The 25,232-nt window shown below is 39.9% G+C and overlaps 1 protein-coding gene across 6 annotated transcripts; it reads left to right on the forward strand.

Moving 5' to 3' along the window:
- The first annotated feature begins 5,977 nt into the window (after positions 1-5,977).
- On the forward strand, positions 5,978-13,942 carry TSLP (thymic stromal lymphopoietin). Of its 6 annotated transcripts, none has more exons than NR_045089.2 (5): positions 5,978-7,433; positions 7,841-7,977; positions 8,804-8,848; positions 9,427-9,561; positions 11,862-13,942. NR_045089.2 is itself a non-coding variant. In XM_047417847.1 (5 exons), exons 2-5 carry the CDS (start codon positions 7,969-7,971, stop codon positions 11,988-11,990), a joined length of 318 nt encoding a protein of 105 aa, XP_047273803.1. In that variant the 5' UTR covers positions 6,006-6,336; positions 7,841-7,968; the 3' UTR covers positions 11,991-13,942. The 6 variants fall into 6 exon arrangements, 5 of the variants coding, with proteins under 5 accessions (XP_047273803.1, XP_047273802.1, NP_149024.1 ...); XM_047417847.1 differs by having other exon boundaries at positions 6,006-6,336; XM_047417846.1 differs by lacking the exon at positions 5,978-7,433 and adding an exon at positions 7,629-7,662.

The following is a 25,232-nucleotide window of genomic DNA, read 5'->3' on the forward strand; positions in this document are numbered from 1 at the left end:
ATGAGGAATACAAACAAAACAGACTGTGTAAGCACATTGCCCTGGGTCAAAGTCAGCATGAAATGCTCTCATCTCCTAATCTTTGTACTAATTGACTATTCACTAACCTACTATATTGTTTTAATTATTAATTCTCATGGCTCTTTTAAAATCATTTATTTATAAAACAAAATATTATAGGACATTATCTGAATCTTCAGATTTATTCCACTGCAACTAGTAGTTGTTCAATAAATATTAAATATAATTGACTTACATTAAGATATAATGAGTGTAGGCAATGTGCTAGGTCCTAAACACAGATACAAATGCAGATATAAACATCATAATAGGAATTCAAATGCACGGATTGGAAATTATCAAGATCATTACAAAACGATTGTTCTCTATAAGAAATCCTTTCAAGAAGAGTAACCAACAAAAAAGCTCTAACTACAAAAATACAAAATTACATGGAAAAGGTAATGCAATTCATTGTATCAGAGAAGTTTGGGGGTTTGGGGGAAAGCAGGCATTCTTCGTTGAATTAAACAACAATGGAGCTATAAATTAGCACATCCTTTTAATAGGAATAACACCCACACTACAGTTTTATAAATCTCTTCTTTCCAACCAGTGAGAGTAGCCTATACTCTCTGAGGTAAGAAGTCATTGAGTTTCTTTCCAGGTTTTGTAAAATCGCAAAGTAGGAAATATTTATTAAATATCTTTGTTTTAAATGCTTCTCTTCTTTTCAAATGCATTTTTGGAATAACTGTTCTTTAAAGGGGATTTGAACCTTTAGAACTGTTAGGAGCACATGAGGAAAGACTTGGGAACTTAGGAGTATAATTAATATTCTTAGGAGGTACTCTATATGAGTTATGAGTTCATACTACAAATGTTGAGGAACAAGAGCTATAAGTCAGAACAAAATGGGAGGCGGAATTCTGTTTGACTGAGTGACTATATTGGAGAAATTGCAGGTTTCGGGCCACACCGTGGGACCCTTACATACTGTTGATAAACTTTTTTGGTAAAAGTCTTGTAAACACTACAAGAGAGTCAAAACCAAACCTAACATAAGGCTGAGTGGTATAATTTCCTAGAGCAGAGATCTGTAAACTTTTTCTGTGAAAGATGAAATAATAAATATTTTAGGCTTTGCAGGCCAGATGGTTTCTGTCACAACTGCTTAACTCTGTCCTTGCAGCACAAAAGCAGCCAAAGACAATACTGTAATAAAAGAAGGGTGGGTTTGGATGTATTTCAATAAAACATTATTTACAAAAGCAGATAGGTAAGCAGAATTTAGCCTACATATGCTGGGCGCGGTGGCTCACGCCTGTAATCCCAGCACTTTGGGAGGCTGAGGCAGGACAATCACTTGAGGCCAGGAGTTCAAGACCAGCCTGGCCAATATGGTGAAACCCCGTCTCTACTAAAATTACAAAAATTAACCCGGCATGGTGGCGTGGACCTGTAATCCCAGCTGCTCAGGAGGTTAAGGCACAAGAATCTCTTGAACCTGAAAGACAGAGGCTGCAGTGAACTGAGATTGTGCCACTGCACTCCAGCCTGGGCAACAGAAGCAAGATCTGTCTCAAAAAAACAAACAAACAAAATAATAGAATTTAGCCTACAGGCTGCAGTTTGCTAACCCCTTGCTCTAATCTCTGAAAATCTTTTCTAGGTGATATACCCACATGAAGACAGTCCTCAGGCCAAACTCATAGATCCCAATTCTTTGCTATCCATTTATCCTCTTCTGAACTTTCTAGAGTCTCCTTTTCTGTTTCTTCCTCCCTCCACCCCCACATGTGTCTGGAATTGTCAGGCAGCTTTTTCTCAGAAGCCCCGAATGGCTGTGTGGGAAGAAATTAGACCTCGATGAGACAAACAAAATGATTATTAGGGACTTGCTTTGTTTAAGAGAGGAAATACACTTGGGGTGATTGCTTAACCCAGAGATTATTACTGAGAAGAGTGGGACTCACAAAAGAGGAGACACCTGCAGGGCCTCAAACACTCCAGATGAGAAATAAGCTGAGGGCTACCCCTTGACTCACATAATGGTTACTTTGTAAAAGATCCTTTTATACATAAACAATGTGTCTAAACTATGAAGCAAATTACACAATAGAGTCCAGTAGGTGAATAGATTTCTTGCAAATCCTGGTTGGCAATATTACTAGGAGGAGAGGAAAACAAAGAAAATGGCAGAATTTTTTATAACTCATCTTTCACAGCTAGAAGCTTTTTTTCTAACAGAATTTAATGAAACATTAAGAGCCACGGTTTCCTGCGCAAGAGTTATAGAACTGGTATGATGCCACAAGGCAGACATAAAAGATTAGGAAAGGAATGTTACCTGATGGCTGCATGTGATGACATCCTACTGACTCCTGTGAATGACTGCATCAGTCAGGGACCCACAGGAAACAAGGAGCATGCTCAAACTGGGTAATTGTGGGAAAGTTTACTAAGGAGACTCTTTACAAAGGACATAAGCTGGAAAATCAAGACTAATCATATAATTTATTGTTGAAACTGTGCCACTTTTTTTTTCACAGTACTTTGAGTTGTTGTTTTAGGAATGGTGCCACTTTTGAGGGTGAAAGGAAGCTTTATTAATAAATTGTTTCAGGACAATGGGTATAAACTGGGTCTAGGACAGCCAAACCATAACTTTTGCAATAGTGGTGTATACCAGGCTAGCAAAAATAAGGAGCTGTTATCACCTCTACCCCTACAAGGACAAAGGGAGGAAACAGTTACCAGAACCTGGCAGGCAGCAAGATGAAAAGTTTAACAAACAGGAACTGTGGCCCTCTATAAAGGAAAGCATCCAATCTACAGTGAGCCAACAGCTGGAGAGTGGGTGAATTAAAATCCGAACTTCACTGTCTTACTACTTTCTGATCTCTTGCCAATATCTCACATTAGGTGAACTCAACCAGAAGCTGGAGGTCAGCGGAGCCTGTGGATGCAGTCCTTATGGGTCTGCTTCCAAGGCATAAAGCCACATAGGGAAGGACAGAGATTAGACCTAAAGGGGAAATTAGAAGATATCCGGCATAGTAAATATCCTTGCAAAGTATCCAGAACTGAAACTATCCTTTAGCTCTGACTTCTTCCAAAACTTTTTTTGAAGCATTCTAAGAAAGCTCAACTCCTATATTCTTCTTGAACAACCTTCTCCCTATTCATGTCCTGTTATGTTGTAGAAAAACAGTAAAGTAAGCAAGAACTTGTTTTACCCCCACCGGCTGGGAGTAAGACTGTTTCTTCACAGAGCAATGAACGTAAGCATGAGGTTTACATGAATATATTTAGTCTCCTCACTCTCCAATTCAAAAAGATCTGGGAACATTTCACAGCCATGGGCTGATTATGCAGGTATCATCAGCCTGGGAATATAATGAAATAAAAAAGTTGTTTTTCACATTTGTCATAGGAAACTCCTTCACCTACTTTCTGGTCCACAAATGTTCCCAAGAGATCTTAGAGGAACTATGGAGTCTGGTGAACCACATCAATGATTCAGACCAACAGCAAATCTGCATGAGCATAAACATAAAATGCAAAGGAAACAGGCAAAATAAATATCACTTTCAGAGGTGAACACTAGCCACTTCTCCTTACATAAATACCATGCTTGGCTATAAACAAGGTAGAATATGAAAAAAAGAAACAATGTCCACCTCTGAAAGTGTGACACTCTCTTTTATATGAGCATATGAAAACCAAGAAGTAGAATGATTTTATGACTTGTGTCCTGGAGGGTCCAGAGCAATACACTTTACTTTCAAGACCAAAGAACACCCTTCTGCTAGGGAAACTCCATTATTACACCCTTTCTAAATTATTACCAAGCTTAAGCTGTGTCATTGACTTTTCTTAATCCAAAGAGACAGATCTCCCCCATCTCATCAATAACCTCTCTGATATCCCTTCCATTTTTTAAAATCCCATAATTATATTATTGAATAAGGTAAAAAAAAATACCAATCTCCTTTTGGCAACTATTTTTCAAATCCAAACTGAGTTTTGCATGAGTTCTAGGCTACTTTAAATATTCAGGACAATTCAAGGAAGAGGAGGAAAGACATAAATTTAAAAAGAAGGAGGGAAAGAATAAGAGAATAAAAGAAGGAGTGGGAAACAATAACGAAATGAAAGAAACAGTGAGAAGCATTATTAAAACAAGAAATAAAAGTATTAAGAAAATTAATGAATGATTTATCTTTTTAGTGAGGGTAGGAGAAAAGAGCTATGTCATGGATCATTTTCTGGTCCTTCACATGGGTAAGAGTATTGCCTAAGCTTCCTGAGTAATCACAGAGTGTTACAAATGATGTCACTTCTATTTCCATATGGAAGACACACCATTCTTGACCTAACCTAGGATTTCCCAAACTACGTATGCAGATACTGTTCACTCCTTCAGCATTTGGACAAATGAAAAGAGAAGGAAAACAGGAAGCTTTTCAGCTCACCCTGAATTTTCACAGATGGCCCTGGTCTGAATTGTTGCCCCAGGTGAGACATAAGCAGATTCCAGGAAGACAGCAGCAAAGAGCTAGAAAAAGAAGTATTTATAGAGAGGTTCTTTCAATGGAAAAGAATTTGCTTCCTGACAATGATCTTCATAGAAGGTTAATATGCTTAAGCACATTGAGAATTCATTGAATATCTATTACATGTAGTACAGAAGACAGCCCTATTGTGGTTATGATGATGACCATAAGCTTAAGAAAAACTGGCTTTCATGATGAATTTGTGTGTGGTAGAGCTTGTCATAGTCTACCCCTTGTAGTGGCAGTTTAGAAGCTCAAAACTCACTTTTGAGATCAATTGTTATAATTCTCCAGTTTTTAGTAATGCTTTTCTATAGCCTTCCCTGCACCTGATTCTAACCGCCCTATTCCTTTGCTCCATTCTCTTGTCTCACCTTGACTGTTTTTTTACCTTTTGACACCAATGTATTTATTGCAAATCACTTCAAATGCTACTGGAAAGGTAAATAGTGAACAAATGAACTGCTATAAAACATTACCTACTTTTAAAGAACTCGCAATCTAATAGAGAGATAAGGTTGAAAAACATTATTGAAATGTTAAGTAATCTATAGAAGCCATAGAAAGAAGTCCAAAATAGATACGGCTTACAGGATAATGAGGTCACATCCTGGTAGGAGACCACTTTTGGAGACATCAAATAAGATGAACATGGCAAGACATGAAAATCTAACATCTCAGATTGGGAAGAAAACAGCTCAGAGCATGTTTAGAGCATATTACCTTCAGATACTGTTTGCTGGAAGCCTAGGAAAATGAAGGAAATAGGGCTGGAAAGACAGCTTGGAGCCAACGCAGGAGGGATAATTGTAATCTCAAAACAACCTTGAGTAGGTTGTTTTGCCATAACTTTTTGAGCAGACAAGTAATATAATCCAGGTGATCTAAGAGGTCACATAATTACAGATAAGGAAATTGGGGGCAAAAGGAACAAGTGTTTAGCAATGTTTTAACAGACAAAGAGACACCTGGGATGCCTTAGAAAGAGATACCCTGCCTACCTCATCTGAACAAAGACTCTACATAGATCATAGACACAAGGGGTTTTTAAAAGAGGAAACAAAAAAAGGGAGGCAGCCTGGTTATACCTCCAGAAGAATGCAAGTCGAAGCTCAGTGTAGGCTGCTTTCTGTTGTTCTTGCCCCCATCAGCAATCAAGAGATGAAGCCGAAGGTTCTAGTGGGCACTCACACTCTCTGGCCCTACAGCAAGCCACTAGAGGGGAAGGCATGTCAGGTGAGGGTGACAGAAGCAGCCACCATGCCCTTTCCTTTGTCTCTTGGAGCTATCCCAGCCCAGTGAAGAAATCTAAGTTTAGCTCCTGTCTGCCTATATAATAATGTCCAGCTGCCGACCAGAATAATCTCTGATGTCACAATAGATTAATCAGGTTTTGGCATCATCCCACAATACCCTGAGAAGTTGGTGATGGGGGAAGAGTGGACTTTTTTTTCAAAGAATGCTGTGGTGACTCGAGTACAACACATGAAGAATTCCAGAAAAGAGCCATTTTTGAAGTCAGCGGTGAATCAGAGGTTTTCTGACCCTCTCGAGTGCCTTCTATGAAGAAGAGTTCAACTCTGGCTCCAGTTTGTCCCCTACTCTTTTCCCGAATCCCTCGACATTCCTTGCTCTTTTCCCCAGGCACCGCATGGCCTGTGACATTTGCTGGGACTCACACACGGCGTCCAACCTCCTTTCTCCGAGCGATGACTCCTAGGAACTTCCCAAGGACCAGAGCGATGCAGGCTCCGACACGCGAGGGCGGGGGGCGGGGGTGAGGGGTGCGATGGACGGGGGAGCGGAAGGGAAAGAGAGAGAGAGGGGACCTGGGTGTAGAGAGGGCCCAGGGCCGCATGAGCCAAGCCAGGGAGGAGCAGGGGGTTCATCTCAGCAACCTGATCGGTGTCGGCCTTTCCCTCCCTTCAACCCTCCATTGGTGTTGCTGGAACTGGGAAGACTGCTAGACAGACATCCTCTAGGGCACTCTCCCTGACTCACTTTGCTGTGCTTTTAAGCGCTCTTTTCTGGATCAACAAGAGTTTGCTAGTAAAAATCTGAGCCCGCCATCTCGATGCTTCTCCTGTCTCTAAAACTGGTGCCCGGGCTGAGGCCCCAGGTGACAGACGTTTTCCAGTCTACGCTGCGCGGGGCTAAGCCTCTGCGAGGCAGAGCGCACTAAAGCGTGCGCCGCCTCCGGGAGAGCTGAGCTCAGGACAGCATCGTCTCCGTGCGGTCGCCGCTGGGCACCCAGCAGCGCGGTCTGGCTCCGCTTCTTGTGTCGCTGGCCTTAAGAGTGGGACTGTGAAGGTGGCTGGGCGCTGGAATTTGTGGTTTTAAAAGTTCTTGACACCTGCTAGAAAGTGCTAGAGGACTCTTCAGCCCCTAAGGTGCCCCTAGCCACCAAGAGTAGGCGTTTTTCCTGAAATTGATATGGGAAATTTGAAAAGTAGGGTTTTTGAGAACAAGCCACATCAGATCTTTCCCCACTTATTTCAACCTCTTATCGTTCCTGCCCCTAAGGTTCTGGTCACGGTTGCACATTTAATGCTTTCACATGGAAGTGCTGTCGAAGACTGAGACTGCACCCCACCCTCCAAAGCATCCCATAAGCAAGCACAGTTTCTTACTAGCCAAGGAGAAGGGAAAGCACTAGTTGAAAGTGGCCACAGGAAATGCTCAAAGATGTTCAGAATGCATGGGACATATGCAAGGACTCCAAATCCTTACAGTGGCTGCTGGTTTCAGAAGGTGTTTCTCCCAAATAGAAAGGATTGGTCACGGAAATGCCCTGTAGGAGAAAGACACTGGTATCCGTTTCTTAAAGGACATTCACACTTATGAAGTGTTTAGGGCAAAGCAAAAAGGAGGAAGGTGAGGGAAATTCCTGATGACTTTACTGATGTTAAAATTCCATAGATTTAGCTACTCCTTTTTTTTTTTCCTTTCACATCATCAATTCAGAATTCTATAAAGGAAGAGAATGACATGGTAGAAAATCATTGGCCTAGGAGAAAAGAGCCCGTAGGCGTTTAGGTGTTATATAGTGCAGCCAGAAAGCTCTGGAGCATCAGGGAGACTCCAACTTAAGGCAACAGCATGGGTGAATAAGGGCTTCCTGTGGACTGGCAATGAGAGGCAAAACCTGGTGCTTGAGCACTGGCCCCTAAGGCAGGCCTTACAGATCTCTTACACTCGTGGTGGGAAGAGTTTAGTGTGAAACTGGGGTGGAATTGGGTGTCCACGTATGTTCCCTTTTGCCTTACTATATGTTCTGTCAGTTTCTTTCAGGAAAATCTTCATCTTACAACTTGTAGGGCTGGTGTTAACTTACGACTTCACTAACTGTGACTTTGAGAAGATTAAAGCAGCCTATCTCAGTACTATTTCTAAAGACCTGATTACATATATGAGTGGGGTAAGTGAAGAAGCTTTTTTAAAACAAATGTATTTTCATCAGAGGAGTCGGCATACACACACTCTACAATTTAACTTTGTAGGAAAGAAAAATAATTTAGAAAAAATCATGGCCCCACATTTTGTCAAGGATTCTTACAAGTGATATTCAAATATCTAATCTAAAATGATTATCTAGAAATTGGCACATTCTAAGTGTGCAGATGCTGATGAGGAGCAGGTATTGATAGACAGCGCGTTATGCGTCAAAGGATGTCTATCCTTTGCTAAAGTGTTACTCTGACTATGCTGTAAAAAGCAGGAGGTAAGAGCTTAAGAAAGAGGAGTAAAAGAGATAATTCTCATGAGATAAACTCTAAGGATTGATGCTGTGCTCCAGGTCTCTCCAGTGTTTTAGATGTTTCAGGATGCTATTTATTACAGAATATGGTGTACTTGGAATTTTTTTTAACATACAGTAGTAATCATTTTCCTGATTAACCTAATTTCTAGACAGAGTTTGCATTCATGAATGGCCACAGTACAGATGCGGACATCCAAAGGATGGCATTATTACTCACAAGCATAGTGCTATGTGCAGTTATGGCTTGAGGGAAGGGAGGGGGGAGGTCGCCCTCTGAGACCTGAACCTTTTGGTGTGGTTTCAAGCACTAACCAGCACTATCTAATGGCTATTTCACTGCCTTGTCAATGACATAGGAAAAAGGTACCTGAGTGGAAACTGTTTTCAGGGCACCTTTAAAGCCTGGGAGCAAAGGGTGGAGGGATGATTTTCCTTGTGGACTTAAAAGTCTTTACCCTCTTTGTCCTATTTTTCTTTCTTCCAGACCAAAAGTACCGAGTTCAACAACACCGTCTCTTGTAGCAATCGGGTGAGTAGAGAGTTCAGTGCTGCTGGCTTTCTCCAGGGAGACGCCAGGCATTTTGGAGAGGGAGTATCCTGCTACGTGCAGAACTCCGAGAGGTGCCTGGGCTCCGGGACGCCGCCGCCGGGGGAAAGGGGACATCTGGGCTGTCAGAGCGGGGCTGCGCCTAGCTTGGGACAACACTTCTGTTCCAATTTAGGGAGAGGAAGTCTCTATCCGGAGGAAAGGCAAATTGGGAACTGGGACGAGGGAACGTTGTTAGGGGCACCACCTGCTGGGGTCCGGCGCCTCCGCGCTCGGGCTCGGAATTTTGGCAGCCTCCGCCCCCTGGAGACTTGGGAGGAGCGAGCGTGGGTGACAGTCTTTTCGCGACGAGTGCCCTCCGCCACCCTCGCCACGCCCCTGCTCCCCCGCGGTTGGTTCTTCCTTGCTCTACTCAACCCTGACCTCTTCTCTCTGACTCTCGACTTGTGTTCCCCGCTCCTCCCTGACCTTCCTCCCCTCCCCTTTCACTCAATTCTCACCAACTCTTTCTCTCTCTGGTGTTTTCTCCTTTTCTCGTAAACTTTGCCGCCTATGAGCAGCCACATTGCCTTACTGAAATCCAGAGCCTAACCTTCAATCCCACCGCCGGCTGCGCGTCGCTCGCCAAAGAAATGTTCGCCATGAAAACTAAGGCTGCCTTAGCTATCTGGTGCCCAGGCTATTCGGAAACTCAGGTAAGCCCGAAGCCTCAGACGTTTGCTGTACCTTGGGGCTAACCTCAAATTAAACTGGGGCTTTGGTGCAGAAGTCGTTCTCTTATTTTTATTTAGGTTTTATCTTTCGAAGAGCAAACGAGCCGGGTAAAAGTGGTAGGATGTCAGTTAGACCCACGTTGATACCCGGAATCAAACTCACCTATTTCTACGGTTCTGATACTGTTTTGGCTGAATTATGGTTCTAAACCTTAGGGCAATGTTTCAAGCTATGATGAGTGAGACTTCTATATCAGAATGTTTTGATTGCTGGAGCATAAGAGTATGGCTGCTAAAAATGCCAATTCCCAGGTACTCAACCCAGACCTTCAACATTAAAATCTCAGATTATGGGGCTCCTTAAGAGATTCTTGTCCAGTCCAAAGTTTGAGCAACACCTCTTGTTCTTATCACTTAATTATTGTGTGCTTATTTGCTAAATGTATAATTACATTATACATAAAATCTCTATCCTATGTTTGCTTAATTGCTTGTGTGGGCGCTATTGCTGTCTCTTTACACATTTTTGCACATGTAGTTATCTGCATTTGAATGCTCGTGTAGCATTAAATATGGAGATAGTGTAGTGGAAAGTTAGGCACAGGAACTCTGGAGACAACCTGCCTGACTTTGAATCCTGGCCCTATAACTTCTGTGAAGACTTAGTTAAATTACTTAGCCTCCGTGTACTGTAGCTTCATGGGTAAAGTAAGTATCATATCAGTTAGTCTTATACAGGTTGTTTCTGAGGATTAAATTAGTCAACACATGTAAATGCAGTTGGAACAGTGCCTGGTACACAACAGGCACTCAATATTTATTTCAGTCAGCAAGTAGAGGATTTATCTTCATGGTGACAAGTTTAAGGAACAGAGAGAGACAAGTGCAGATATGTTTGATTGCTCCTTATTAGCCTAGTGGACTTTATATGTCTACAGTCTAGGTAGATGGACACGACTGTCACTTTTTTTTTTTTTTTTTTTTTGAGACAGAATCTCGCTCTGTTACCCAGGCTGGAATGCAGTGGCACGATCTCAGCTCACTGCAACCTCCATCTCCTGGGTTCAAGCCTCAGCCTCCCGAGTAGCTGGAACTACAGGTGCCCGCCACCACGCCTGGCTAACTTTTGTATTTTTAGTAGAGACGGGGTTTCACCATATTGGCCAGGCTGGTCTCGAATTCCTGACCTTGTGATCTGCCTGCCTCGGCCTCCCAAAGTGCTGGAATTACAAGCATGAGCCACCATGCCCAGCCAAAACTGTCACTTTCTAGAGGTTGAGGATTGAAGCCATAGCGCTGATCTGGGTTGAGCTTGAATTAGAAACTCAATACCAGACAGCCATATGGGAAACCTATTTGGCTTCATGCCTTCTTATGAAGGAGACCCTGGCAAATCTGCAGATGGCTACAATAAAATTCATTTAAATAAGAGCACAAACAAAAAGCTAGATCAAGTTCTTGGACAGCATGTGAGAAAGGGAGAGTTTGGAGAAATTTATTTCAGTCCCTCCCAAGCCCAAATGGAGAGTCTAAGACTAATAATAATGATTTTGCAGGTTTTTTTAAGATTTGTGCTTAATAACCCTGTGACTTTATTAATTTGCATACCATGTGTCTAGGAGGCCCAGTGTACTACTCAAAGGTAATTCAGATAAAGGTATATACTGCAATCCTCTTTAAAATAAGCCCTCAGATGTCTGTGACACATCTAGACAATGGGGCAGGGGAGGGGGAAGGATGGGGAGCAGGAGCATGCATTTTGGGTCCAAAAAATAGACTAGGTTTATTGAATGATGTCTATAAACAGGTATAAGATAGCTCTTGCCCATGAGGAACTTGTGATCTTGTCAGGGAGGTCTTGAAATCAGCAATTTATTCATTTACTTAATCACTCAACAAATATTCAGTGTTTCCTATGATTAAGACACTGTATTCAGTGCTATGGGGAATACCTATGATGCAATATAAAGAAAAGCATGTTAAGTGAGAGCCAAGTTAAATGACACACACTCTTAAGTACTGGAAGAGTTTCCAAAAGCAAGGTCTGAGCAATTAGTGGAGGCTTTTTGAAGGAGGTGGTGCTTGGCCTTGAAGCAAAAGTAGGTGGGTACAGAAACAGGAAGGCATTCCCCTGGAAAAGGCACATGCTAGCACATAGTAAGCAGGTGCTTTGGAGACACACTGAAAGATGGATTTGCATAGAGAAGGCAATTAAACCTGCTCTCAACAGTTACTAAAGATAGTGAAAAGTAATTTTGACTATTGATTCTTATATTCTGCAGATAAATGCTACTCAGGCAATGAAGAAGAGGAGAAAAAGGAAAGTCACAACCAATAAATGTCTGGAACAAGTGTCACAATTACAAGGATTGTGGCGTCGCTTCAATCGACCTTTACTGAAACAACAGTAAACCATCTTTATTATGGTCATATTTCACAGCACCAAAATAAATCATCTTTATTAAGTAGATGAAACATTAACTCTAACTGTGACAAAGAAGACCACAAATAGTTATCTTTTAATTACAGAAGAGTTTCTTAACTTACTTTTGTAAGTTTTTATTGTGTAAGTTTATAATGCAGGGGAAGTACTACTCCTCAAATGTTGAGGGAAGCTTCCATAACATTGATGACTGGCTTCATGGCAGTAATTCTCGGCTGTAGTTGCATAAGCATTGCTCAAGAGGAAAATCCAAAAGTGCAGCAGGAGAACTCTTTTCCCTGAAAAAGGAAAAATATTGAACTCAATGATAGCACCTAAACTTACATTTAAAAGACAGACATTCCTTCTACATGTAATGACACTTCTTGTGTTAAACTAAAAATTTACAAGAGAAGAAAGTGAAAGCAAATGGGGTTTCACAAATAGTTGTAAATATAGTGAAGCAATTTGAAATAATTTTCAAGCAAAGTATTGTGAAAGTATTCTAAGCCAAGTTTTAAATATTATCTAACAGACAAGAGTGGTATATACAAGTAGATCCTGAGAAGTACCTTTGTTACAGCTACTATAAATATACATATAAATTATAGAATCTACTTTAATTTATTTTGTGAACACTTTTGAAAATGTACATGTTCCTTTGTAATTGACACTATATATTTCTTAATAAAATAATTCTCAAATTTGTTTCTTATGAATCATCTCTCAAATCTAGTTAGACAATTTGCACACATACTTTTCTAAGGGACATTATCTTCCTTCAGGTTTTTACCTCCACTCATCCTTAGAGCCCACTGACTGCTCCCCTTTATACCTGTTGGCCCTGCCTATAGGAGAGAATATTTGGAGATAGGCAGCTTCAGGATGCATTGCAATCATCCTTTTCTTAAATTATGTCACTAGTCTTTTATTTTTTCCCCTCTTGAACTTTCCTCACACCTGGAAGAAACAAAGTAGGAAAAAGTGAACAGGGGATGTCAAATCGATTCTTGAATTCCCGCTGCAAGCTAGAGCCGCAGGCACCCTCTCACTCAATTTCCACTCAGAACCCTATAAACACCAGTGGGAAGGGCAACCCACTGCACGTGGGAATGCACTGATTTTTCCTAGGAGTAGACATGTTCCTCTAATTACTCCCTGAGGGTTAGTTGGGGCTAAACCATGACAGAAGTGGGGAAGTTCAATGTCCTTAAATCCATCTTACTTGCCAACAGGTAAGAGGAAGCTTACATTACATGTCCAGTCCACATTTAAAGAGCACTTACTGTGGAACAAGCCTTCAGCCAAACAATGGGGATAGAAAAGTAGGTAAGACTCAGCCTTTGTCCAGAGAAGCTCAGGGTATAGCTGAATAGGCAGTTTCTTTTGTCCTGAGGAAAATCAGGACATGCCTGCTTTCTAAAAATCTTCCTCTGAAGACCTGACCCAAGCTCTTAAATGCTATTGTAAGAGAAATTTCTTTGTCTATTAACTCCATTTTAGTAGGGATTCACTGACTAGATTTTACTGAACTATGAAAATAAATACACATAATTTTTCACAAAATTTTGGGCCCAATTCCCCTAAAAGAATTGAGGATTAGGGAGAAAGGAGACAACTCAAAGTCATCCCATTAAGTGCAGTTTCTTTGAATCTTCTGCTTTATCTTTAAAAATTTGTATAATTTATATATTTTATTCTATGTGTTCCATAGATATCTTAATGTAAAATTAGTCATTTAAATTACACTGTCAATTAAAAGTAATGGGCAAGAGATTGCATCATACTAATTTAGTAAGAACGTTCCCAAATGTTGTAACAATGTGGATCATACATCTCTGGTTTTTTAAATGTATTGAGGCTTTCTTGGTGGACTAGTATAGTATACGGTCAGTTATGTCAATGTTTCATGGTCAATAAAAAGGAAGTTGCAAATTGTGATTTAAGCATATAAAGTTGGTTATATACATACTGAGACTACATTGTTAGTTATGCTATTTATATAATCTATATTCTCACTTTTGTCTCCTTCATTCAGAGAATAAGAGAGCTGTATGAAAGTCTACTGCCGGCCGGGCGCGGTGGCTCATGCCTATAATCCCAGCACTTTGGGAGGCCAAGGTGGGCAGATTTCAAGGTCAGGAGATCGAGACCATCCTGGCTAACACGGTGAAACCCCGTCTCTACTAAAAATACAAAAAAATTAGCCAGGCATGGTGGCGGGCACCTGTAGTCCCAGCTACTCGGGAAGCTGAGGCAGGAGAATGGCGTGAACCTGGGAGCCGGAGCTTGCGGTGAGCCGAGATTGCGCCACTGCACTCCAGCCTGGGCGACAGAGCCAGACTCCCTCTCAAAAAAACAGAAAAAACAAGAAAGTCTAGCTGATATAATTCTTTATTTCTTTGTATCCATAAAGTTTTGCTTTCCTGTTGCTGAAACCATTTTTATCCAATGCCTAAAAAATCAATGGAGCCATTTATTGATCATTATACCCTTACCATTACAACATTTCCACATCTTATTTGCCAAGTAATCTATGCTCTCTATTAAACTCTTTCTGGGTCTCTTTGCTTTTGATATTTCTTATACATAGCATGTCATTTTAGTGTGTGGAGGTGGGGAGCGAGAGGGAGTGGATGAATTCCAAACAAAGGCATGTTTACTTTTAGTGCTGTTGCTGCATTTTTAAGTTTTCTGTTTTCTTAGTTCCACATTATTTGTATAATTTTAACCTAAGAACAGATCTTTACATTTATTCCTTTTAACCATTTCTTATCGGTTTTTGTCCTATCCCCTCAGCATGTTGATATCTTGAGAGTTTGGCTCTTGGTTCTATTATTACATAACTCTCCCTCATAGGCTTTCTATTGCTTAATTCAGTTTTTGAAAAAGTGTTGACCAAGGCAGGACTAAGCCCTCCTTACCATCAAAGGAGGCAACTCTATAGGCTGGTAAAGTTATTTGTCAATGTTCTTTGTTAAAAAAGAAAAAAAAAGTTCCTTTAAGAATCAAATATCAATTTTTTCATTCTATCCATATCAAAATAAAGGTGAGGGGAAATTTATCAAATGCTTTACTGAAGTCAAAACATACTAAGCCCATATCAAACCTACAGATCAAATAAATTTATCTAAAAATGGGAATTTTAAAATATTTCAATTATATTCCTTTCTAAATCTTACAAGCCAACTCTCTGAGAATTATACCAGACAATAACATTAAACTGATCTGAGATTTTTTAGTATTCTCTCCTTTTTATTATTCAAAAGTACTAGGTTTTCTCAAATGTTTTTGTTCTAGCTGTAGCTCTGAGAATATCTCTTGGCTTTTGTCTGGCATTGCACTTTGTAAATACACCTATACTTTTTGATACCCAGTATTTACAGATTACCAAATAATATAGTTTCACTGATGATTATCATGCAAAAGTTATTTATATCTAAACACAAAGGATAATAGCTCATATACAAAGTTAATTGCAAATTGAATTTTTTGAGTCTCAGGTTCTACATTTCTAAAATAAGGATGATGCTTCCTGTATTTTAGGGTTATTATTAGAATTAAAGTACATTATAAAAATAATGTCCTTGGCAAATGGTAAGGAAAATACTTTAAATTTAGTTATTTGAATGCCTATTTGTAACCATTATAAAGATTTGGAATAAAGACTGTTACACAGCCTGTCAGTAACTTTATTTTTAGTTTTCTGTCTAGGACTGCTTTGTGGCAATAGAAAGAAGGTTGAAAAGTTTAAGCACACAGTTATTGACAGCCTAGCAATTTTGAACTCTACCAAGATAGCAGAGTTCATAAGACAGAGTACCTCAGGTAAGAGGTGCACAGAGAAAGAAGCTCAGAGACCTGTAGGTATATCTCTTGAATATTTAGCTGAGTACTTTTCAGCACATGGCTGAAAACTCACATGGCTATGAGAAAACTACCCAACACTGGGGAATGAGTCACTTGAAAGGTTAGAGGGAATAGTGTCCATTACTTACTGAAAGCCAGGAAAATTGCCTATTTTCATCCACTAGACTGGAATATCTCACAACTCATTAGGCATTGGGTAGGGCACTCAGGAGAGACTTACTTTAGTAATTAATAATAATTAGCCCAAGGCTAATTGCTGCAATAATCCCGCATTAGAAATCTTAAAAGTAAGACTTGAAAGAATCAAACTGTTTCCAAGTAACTTAGCTGAATCCTACAATAAACTTCAAGAATATCTGTAGAAATAAAAAATACCTAGGACCCAAAAAGGAAAATTCACAATATTTTGTATACAACTAAAGATTATCAGACATGAAAAAAGTGAGAAAATATAACACATGATAAGGGGGAAAAGTGAAACTGATTCAGAGCTAACATCGAAGTTAGAATTAGCAGACAAGGACATTAAAATGGTTATTGTAAAATGGTTATTGTAACTATATTCAATATGTTCAAAAAGTTAAATATAGACACAGAATACATAAAGAAAATCCCAGTCCAACTTCTAGATATGAAATCTGTAATGTGTGAAATGAAATGCACAGTGAATGGTAATCATGAGAGATTAGATGTTGCAAAAAATAAGATGAGTAAACTTGAAGACATACCAAGGGAAACTATCCAAAATAAAACACAGAAGGAAAACAATAACTTAAAAATGAAAAGACCATCAGAGAGCTGTGAAACAACTGCAAGTGCCTAATATACATGTAATAAGTCTCTTTAAGTAAAGAGGTACGGAAAAAAATATAGGAAGAAACAATGGTAAATTTCCAAACTTTAAAAAATTCTAAACCCACAGTTCCAAGAAGCTCATTGAAGCACAAGAAACAGATAAAACTACACTAATGCTCATCATAATCGAATTGCTCAAAACCAGAAAATCTTAAAAGCAGCCAATGGTATTGTAAAGACCTTCAGCATGTTCTTCTTAGGATTTCCTCTCCAGAGCACTTCAACCCTTTCTCCTGTACTTCGTATATAGTATTTCATGAACAATGTCATGATATAAGTAGAAAAAAATTTTACATTGGTTGGCCTTAATTATTGATTTCTACCTGTTAGCTTCTGTTTAAGTAGGAGGGTGGGAAGATTCTTTTCCATTCTCCACTATTCTTGAAGTAAAGACAAGGATTGTCATAAATGAAACCAACACTTACTGAGTAGTTTTATCAGTTATTTTTCTTATACTACCTTATGAAATATTTGCAACAATCCTGTGAGCTATGTGCTATCCCCATTTTACAGATGCAAGAAAAGGCTCAGTGAGTGAACTATCCAGTGTAGCACAACTAGTATGTGTAGCATCTGGCTGATTCTGAAGTGCACACTTTCTATTACTTGAGATTAAAGTTTGAGATTTTAAAATAAAAAATGCCTTCCACTAAGTGGAAATTATCCTCATTACCTAACTAATAGATATTGTAGTTGTCTCCTCAACATGGATTCTACCACTTCTTAATTTTGCATCTATTTCCTCATCCACCAGAGGGCTTTAGGGATTGATCCCAGCTCCTGGGATGGATCTGGATTAGTCTAACCTAGTATGGGTGTCCCAATATCCTTGCTTGGAGTTAATAGAGGTAACCAGGCTAATATTGATAAGCATATTGGTAAGCAAGTACCTTGACTCTGGTCTTATTCAGGATAAACATATAGCCACCTTTGGTGATGAACAATAAGCATAAGGTTTTTGAGGGGAAACCCTGAAAAAACGTTTCCTTACTTTAAAAAAAAAAAAAAGGCAGTAGAGTGATAGTCTTCCCCTCTCATGAGATACAAACAAAGAAGCATGCAGTGGCAATTACAATTAGCAATTATCCTAAGACCAGGATTGAGATGAAGCCATGAATGGCAGAGAAACAAGAAGGGAAGAGCCTGAAGCTTTAAATATATAATTACACAAGTAGATTAATCAACCTTACCCTCACCCTCCTTTTGATTTCCAATTCCGTGAGCTACTTAAGTAAAGGTTTTGTTTTGGTTTTTCTGTGTGGGTGGTTATTCTTACTGATTAATGCTACAACTTACCTGAATGCCAAGACAAGGCAAATTAATCTTGATTTAATTTGAAGTGGGAAGAAGAGATGAGCAAGATGAAGACAGGCCCCAGTATCTTAGGGAACAAGCCAAAAATTATGACCTGGGATGGTAAGGATGCAGGAAAAGTAAACATGTAAAGAGGATGCCATTCTTTGGCATATTTCACATTGTTTCCTGCTGTGGCTTGAACATGTGTCCTATCCAAAATTCAATTTAAAGCTTAAATCCCCATTGTATTTGGGGAAGTGATTAAATCCTGAGGGCTCCACCGTCATAAATGGATTAGTTCCTTATAAAAAGGCTGGAGGAAACTAGCCTAGTCTCTTCTGTTCTTCCCATCTTCTACCATGTGAGAACACACTGTTCATCCCCCTTTGCCCTTTCTGTCATTTCTGCTATGTGATGACACCTAGACAGTGCTATATATGAGGAACAGACCTTCACCAGACACTAAACCTACTGGCACTGGCACCTAGATCTTGGACTGCCCAGCCTCCAGAACTGTGAGAAATCATTTCTGTTGTTTACAAATTCCCCAGTCTCAGGTATTTTGTTATAGTGGCACAAATGGGCTAAGAAACTTTCTATAAACAACTCTCATGTCAATAGATCATTGCCTTGGCAATTAAAGCTGAGATGCCACTTTTCAAGATGGTGCTCATAAATGCAGTATTTGTATGCCCCTATACTCTTCCCTCTTCTACTCTCCCTTCTGCTAGCTATTCTTGTGTGGAAGAGAGTGGCAGGGCATTCCAAATTGTATTGAGGATGAACTTAGATTGTGTTTGGAGCAGATATCTTAGATATAAAATTTATGGGATGATTCAGGGTATATATCAAATGGATGTGGAGTTTGAGGAAGATTTGGTAATATCTTTTTTTTTTTTTTTTGAGACGGAGTCTCGCTCTGTCACCCAGGCTGGAGGGCAGTGGCTCGATCTTGGCTCACTGCAAGCTCTGCCTCCCAGGTTCATGCCATTCTCCTGCTTCAGCCTCCCAAGTAGCTGGGACTACAGGTGCCCGCCACCACCCCCGGCTAATTTTTTGTATTTTTAGTAGAGACAGGGTTTCACCGTGTTAGCCAGGATGGTCTCGATCTCCTGACCTCGTGATCCGCCCGCCTCGGCCTCCCAAAGTGCTGGGATTACAGGCGTGAGCCACTGCGCCCAGCCAGTAATATCTTAAGAGTGTAGCCCATACTTTATCTTGGTACTATATCTACCACATAATAGTTCTCAATAGATACGCTGAGTAAAAGAATGAAGGAATTAAAATGAATTAAACGTTAAATACGTGTTTCCCAAGAATAAACTGTTTTAAAGTCCATCATGAGTCAGAAACTGAATTGGCAGCAGCAACTATCAGATAAACTATCTGATTGCTGGCACCTGCTCTGTGCAGAAGGGAAAAGGAAACTATCAATCAATGTCATTGCAACCTATCATTATTCTTCACAGCTTCCTTTTTTTGAGATGGAGTCTCGCTCTGTCGCCCAGACTGCAGTGCAGTGGTGTGATCTTGGCTCACTGCAACCTCCGCCTACCGGGTTCAAGTGGTTCTCCTGCTTCAGCCTCCCTAGTAGCTGGGACTACAGGCACATGCCACCACACCTGGCTAATTGTTTTTTGTATTTTTAGTAGAGATGGGGTTTCACCATGTTAGCCAGGATGGTCTCAATCTCCTGACCTCATGATCTGCCCGCCTTGGCCTCCCAAAGTGCTGGGATTACAGGCATGAGTTACCTTGCCTGGCCCACAGTTTCTTTTTAAACAACCCTACGCCTTCTTTTCCCCAAAAAATGCAAAATGAAAAAAAATTAAACTTGCATTTATTCAATCATCAAACATCCACTGAGCCTTTATTCTGTGTCATCCTTGGACACACAACTAAGAACATGAATAATTTGGAAACCTTAACATCATATTGGAGGATATTTGTCCTTTGTGAACCTGTGGCCCAGTCCTCACCTTCTGTAACACAGCTTTAATACTTCTATAAAGTATAACAAACTATGTTTTTTTATTTTTACATGCTAATTTTCACACATTTCTCCAAAATTCACATAGACTTTCGCTAGGTTGTAATCAGAAGGCAAAAAAACACCAAGTCTCACTGGCTTGCAACAACAGTTAATTCTCACTCACATTACAAACGGGCAACCTCAAGTCAGCTGCAGGCTTTGTCTACAGACCTCATTTCAGGACCCAGGCTGAAAAAGCAGCTCCAGTTTGAGACATGCCTTTCTCTTTTGGCAACAGAAAAGAGCAAGAGAGTTGGTAGAAACAGACAATGACTCTTCAAGCATCTGCTGAGACTTGCTGAACATCATGTTTGCTCATATGCACTGGCCAAAGTAAGTCAAACGCTTCCTATTCCTGCTCCACCATGAAGGATTTGCTACAAGTCTTGGGCAAAGGACAGAGATACACAACTTCTTACAGGAGGGAGTTTAAATATTGGAGACGCCAGGGTACACAACTCATTACTTTGGGAGGGAATAGACTAACATAAAGGGAGAACATTCCACATTTTTAGCACTTTTGTATTTAAACGTAGCTTTTAAAAAAAAACAAATGTTTATTAAGCACCCCTTTTGTTCCAGACACTTTTCTGGGTGCTTGTTATGTACTAATGAACAAAACAGAAAAAAAAAATTCTCTACCTTTATGGAGCTTACCCACTAAACTATTAAAATAAAATAAGCCTAATAAAGAAGTTAATAGTACAGTGAGATGCTCTTTTCCCCTCTTTTTTTTAATATTTTATTTTTTATTATTATACTTTAAGTTTTAGGGTACATGTGCACATTGTGCAGGTTAGTTACATACGTATACATGTGCCATGCTGGTGCGCTGCACCCACTAACTCGTCATCTAGCATTAGGTATATCTCCCAATGCTATCCCTCCCCCCTCCCCCCAATCCACAACAGTCCCCAGAGTGTGATGTTCCCCTTCCTGTGTCCATGTGATCTCATTGTTCAATTCCCACCTAGGAGTGAGAATATGCGGTGTTTGGTTTTTTGTTCTTGAGATAGTTTACTGAGAATGATGATTTCCAATTTCATCCATGTCCCTAAAAAGGACATGAACTCATCATTTTTTATGGTTGCATAGTATTCCATGGTGTATATGTGCCACATTTTCTTAATGCAGTCTATCATTGTTGGACATTTGGGTTGGTTCCAAGTCTTTGCTATTGTGAATAATGCCGCAATAAACATACGTGTGCATGTGTCTTTATAGCAGCATGATTTATAATCCTTTGGGTATATAACCAGTAATGGGATGGCTGGGTCAAATGGTATTTCTAGTTCTAGATCCCTGAGGAATCACCATACTGTCTTCCGCAATGGTTGAACTAGTTTACAGTCCCTCCAACAGTGTAAAAGTGTTCCTATTTCTCCACATCCTCTCCAGCACCTGTTGTTTCCTGACTTTTTAATGATTGCCATTCTAACTGGTGGGAGATGGTATCTCATTGTGGTTTTGATTTGCATTTCTCTGATGGCCAGTGATGGTGAGCATTTTTTCATGTGTTTTTTGGCTGCATAAATGTCTTCTTTTGAGAAGTGTCTGTTCATGTCCTTTGCCCACTTTTTGATGGGGTTGTTTGTTTTTTTCTTGTAAATTTGTTTGAGTTCATTGTAGATTCTGGATATTAGCCCTTTGTCAGATGAGTAGGTTGCAAAAATTTTCTCCCATTTTGTAGGTTGCCTGTTCACTCTGATGGTAGTTTCTTTTGCTGTGCAGAAGCTCTTTAGTTTCATTAGATCCCATTTGTCAATTTTGGGTTTTGTTGCCATTGCTTTTGGTGTTTTAGACATGAAGTCCTTGCCCATGCCTATGTCCTGAATGGTAATGCCTAGGTTTTCTTCTAGGGTTTTTATGGTTTTAGGTCTAACGTTTAAGTCTTTAATCCATCTTGAATTGATTTTTGTATAAGGTGTAAGGAAGGGATCCAGTTTCAGCTTTCTACATATGGCTAGCCAGTTTTCCCAGCACCATTTATTAAATAAGGAATCCTTTCCCCATTGCTTGTTTTTCTCAGGTTTGTCAAAGATCAGATAGTTGTAGATATGCGGCATTATTTCTGAGGGCTCTGTTCTGTTCCATTGATCTATATCTCTGTTTTGGTACCAGTACCATGCTATTTTGGTTACTGTAGCCTTGTAGTATAGTTTGAAGTCAGGTAGTGTGGTGCCTCCAGCTTTGTTCTTTTGGCTTAGGATTGACTTGACGATGCGGGCTCTTTTTTGGTTCCATATGAACTTTAAAGTAGTTTTTTCCAATTCTGTGAAGAAAGTCATTGGTAGCTTGATGGGGATGGCACTGAACCTGTAAATTACCTTGGGCAGTATGGCCATTTTCACGATATTGATTCTTCCTACCCATGAGCATGGAATGTTCTTCCATTTGTTTGTATCCTCTTTTATTTCCTTCAGCAGTGGTTTGTAGTTCTCCTTGAAGAGGTCCTTCACATCCCTTGTAAGTTGGATTCCTAGGTATTTTATTCTCTTTGAAGCCATTGTGAATGGGAGTTCACTCATGATTTGGCTCTCTGTTTGTCTGTTGTTGGTGTACAGGAATGCTTGTGATTTTTGCACATTGATATTGTATCCTGAGACTTTGCTGAAGTTGCTTATCAGCTTAAGGAGATTTTGGGCTGAGACGATGGGGTTTTCTAGATATACAATCATGTCGTCTGCAAACAGAGACAATTTGACTTCCTCTTTTCCTAATTGAATACCCTTTATTTCCTTCTCCTGCCTAATTGCCCTGGCCAGAACTTCCAACACTATGTTGAATGGGAGTGGTGAGAGAGGGCATCCCTGTCTTGTGCCAGTTTTCAAAGGGAATGCTTCCAGTTTGTGCCCATTCAGTATGATATTGGCTGTGGGTTTGTCATAGATAGCTCTTATTATTTTGAAATACCTCCCATCAATACCTAATTTATTGAGAGTTTTTAGCATGAAGTGTTGTTTAATTTTGTCAAAGGCCTTTTCTGCATCTATTGAGATAATCATGTGGTTTTTGTCTTTGGCTCCGTTTATATGCTGGATTACATTTATTGATTTGCTTATATGGAACCAGCCTTGCATCCCAGGGATGAAGCCCACTTGATCATGGTGGATAAGCTTTTTGATGTGCTGCTGGATTCGTTTTGCCAGTATTTTATTGAGGATTTTTGCATCAATGTTCATCAAGGATATTGGTCTAAAATTCTCTTTCTTGGTTATGTCTCTGCCCGGCTTTGGTTTCAGAATGATGCTGGCCTCATAAAATGAGTTAGGGAGGATTCCCTCTTTTTCTATTGATTGGAATAGTTTCAGAAGGAATGATACCAGTTCCTCCTTGTACCTCTGGTAGAATTTGGCTGTGAATCCATCTGGTCCTGGACTCTTTTTGGTTGGTAAGCTATTGATTATTGCCACAATTTCAGATCCTGTTATTGGTCTATTCAGAGATTCAACTTCTTCCTGGTTTGGTCTTGGGAGAGTGTATGTGTCAAGGAATTTATCCATTTCTTCTAGATTTTCTAGTTTATTTGTGTAGAGGTGTTTGTAGTATTCTCTGATGGTAGTTTGTATTTCTGTGGGATCGGTGGTGATAACCCCTTTATCATTTTTTATTGCCTCTATTTGATTCTTCTCTCTTTTTTTCTTTATTAGTCTTGCGAGTGGTCTATCAATTTTGTTGATCCTTTCAAAAAACCAGCTCCTGGATTCATTAATTTTTTGAAGGGTTTTTTGTGTCTCTCTTTCCTTCAGTTCTGCTCTGATTTTAGTTATTTCTTGCCTTCTGCTAGCTTTTGAATGTGTTTGCTCTTGCTTTTCTAGTTCTTTTAATTGTGATGTTAGGGTGTCAATTTTAGCTCTTTCCTGCTTTCTCTTGTGGGCATTTAGTGCTATAAATTTCCCTCTACACACTGCTTTGAATGCCTCCCAGAGATTCTGGTATGTTGTGTCTTTGTTCTCGTTGGTTTCAAAGAACATCTTTATTTCTGCCTTCATTTCGTTAGGTACCCAGTAGTCATTCAGGAGCAGGTTGTTCAGTTTCCATGTAGTTGAGCGGTTTTGAGTGAGATTCTTAATCCTGAGTTCTAGTTTGATTGCACTGTGGTCTGAGAGATAGTTTGTTATAATTTCTGTTCTTTTACATTTGCTGAGGAGAGCTTTACTTCCAAGTATGTGGTCAATTTTGGAATAGGTGTGGTGTGGTGCTGAAAAAAAAATGTATATTCTGTTGATTTGGGGTGGAGAGTTCTGTAGATGTCTATTAGGTCCGCTTGGTGCAGAGCTGAGTTCAATTCCTGGGTATCCTTGTTGACTTTCTGTCTTGTTGATCTGTCTAATGTTGACAGTGGGGTGTTAAAGTCTCCCATTATTATTGTGTGGGAGTCTAAGTCTCTTTGTAGGTCACTCAGGACTTGCTTTATGAATCTGGGTGCTCCTGTATTGGGTGCATATATATTTAGGATAGTTAGCTCTTCTTGTTGAATTGATCCCTTTACCATTATGTAATGGCCTTCTTTGTCTCTTTTGATCTTTGTTCGTTTAAAGTCTGTTTTATCAGAGACTAGGATTGCAACCCCTGCCTTTTTTTGTTTTCCATTTGCTTGGTAGATCTTCCTCCATCCTTTTATGTTGAGCCTATGTGTGTCTCTGCACATGAGATGGGTTTCCTGAATACAGCACACTGATGGGTCTTGACTCTTTATCCAATTTGCCAGTCTGTGTCTTTTAATTGGAGCATTTAGTCCATTTACATTTAAAGTTAATATTGTTATGTGTGAATTTCATCCTGTCATTATGATGTTAGCTGGTTATTTTGCTCGTTAGTTGATGCAGTTTCTTCCTAGTCTCGATGGTCTTTACATTTTGGCATGATTTTGCAGTGGCTGGTACCGGTTGTTCCTTTCCATGTTTAGCGCTTCCTTCAGGAGCTCTTTTAGGGCAGGCCTGGTGGTGACAAAATCTCTGAGCATTTGCTTGTCTGTAAAGTATTTTATTTCTCCTTCACTTATGAAGCTTAGTTTGGCTGGATATGAAATTCTGGGTTGAAAATTCTTTCCTTTAAGAATGTTGAATATTGGCCCCCACTCTTCTGGCTTGCAGGGTTTCTGCCGAGAGATCCGCTGTTAGTCTGATGGGCCTCCCTTTGAGGGTAACCCGACCTTTCTCTCTGGCTGCCCTTAAC

The sequence above is a fragment of the Homo sapiens genome, chromosome 5 (genome assembly GCF_000001405.40).
Source record: "Homo sapiens chromosome 5, GRCh38.p14 Primary Assembly".
Lineage (NCBI taxonomy): Eukaryota > Metazoa > Chordata > Mammalia > Primates > Hominidae > Homo > Homo sapiens.

Bases quoted from the DNA above. Each gene is read 5' to 3' on its own strand.
- TSLP (NM_033035.5), top strand. From the start codon at position 7,807: ATGTTCCCTTTTGCCTTACTATATGTTCTGTCAGTTTCTTTCAGGAAA. The intron at 8,849-9,426 runs GTGAGTAGAGAG...GCCTATGAGCAG, and splicing joins CCGTCTCTTGTAGCAATCGG to CCACATTGCCTTACTGAAAT. The intron at 9,562-11,861 runs GTAAGCCCGAAG...TATATTCTGCAG, and splicing joins CAGGCTATTCGGAAACTCAG to ATAAATGCTACTCAGGCAAT.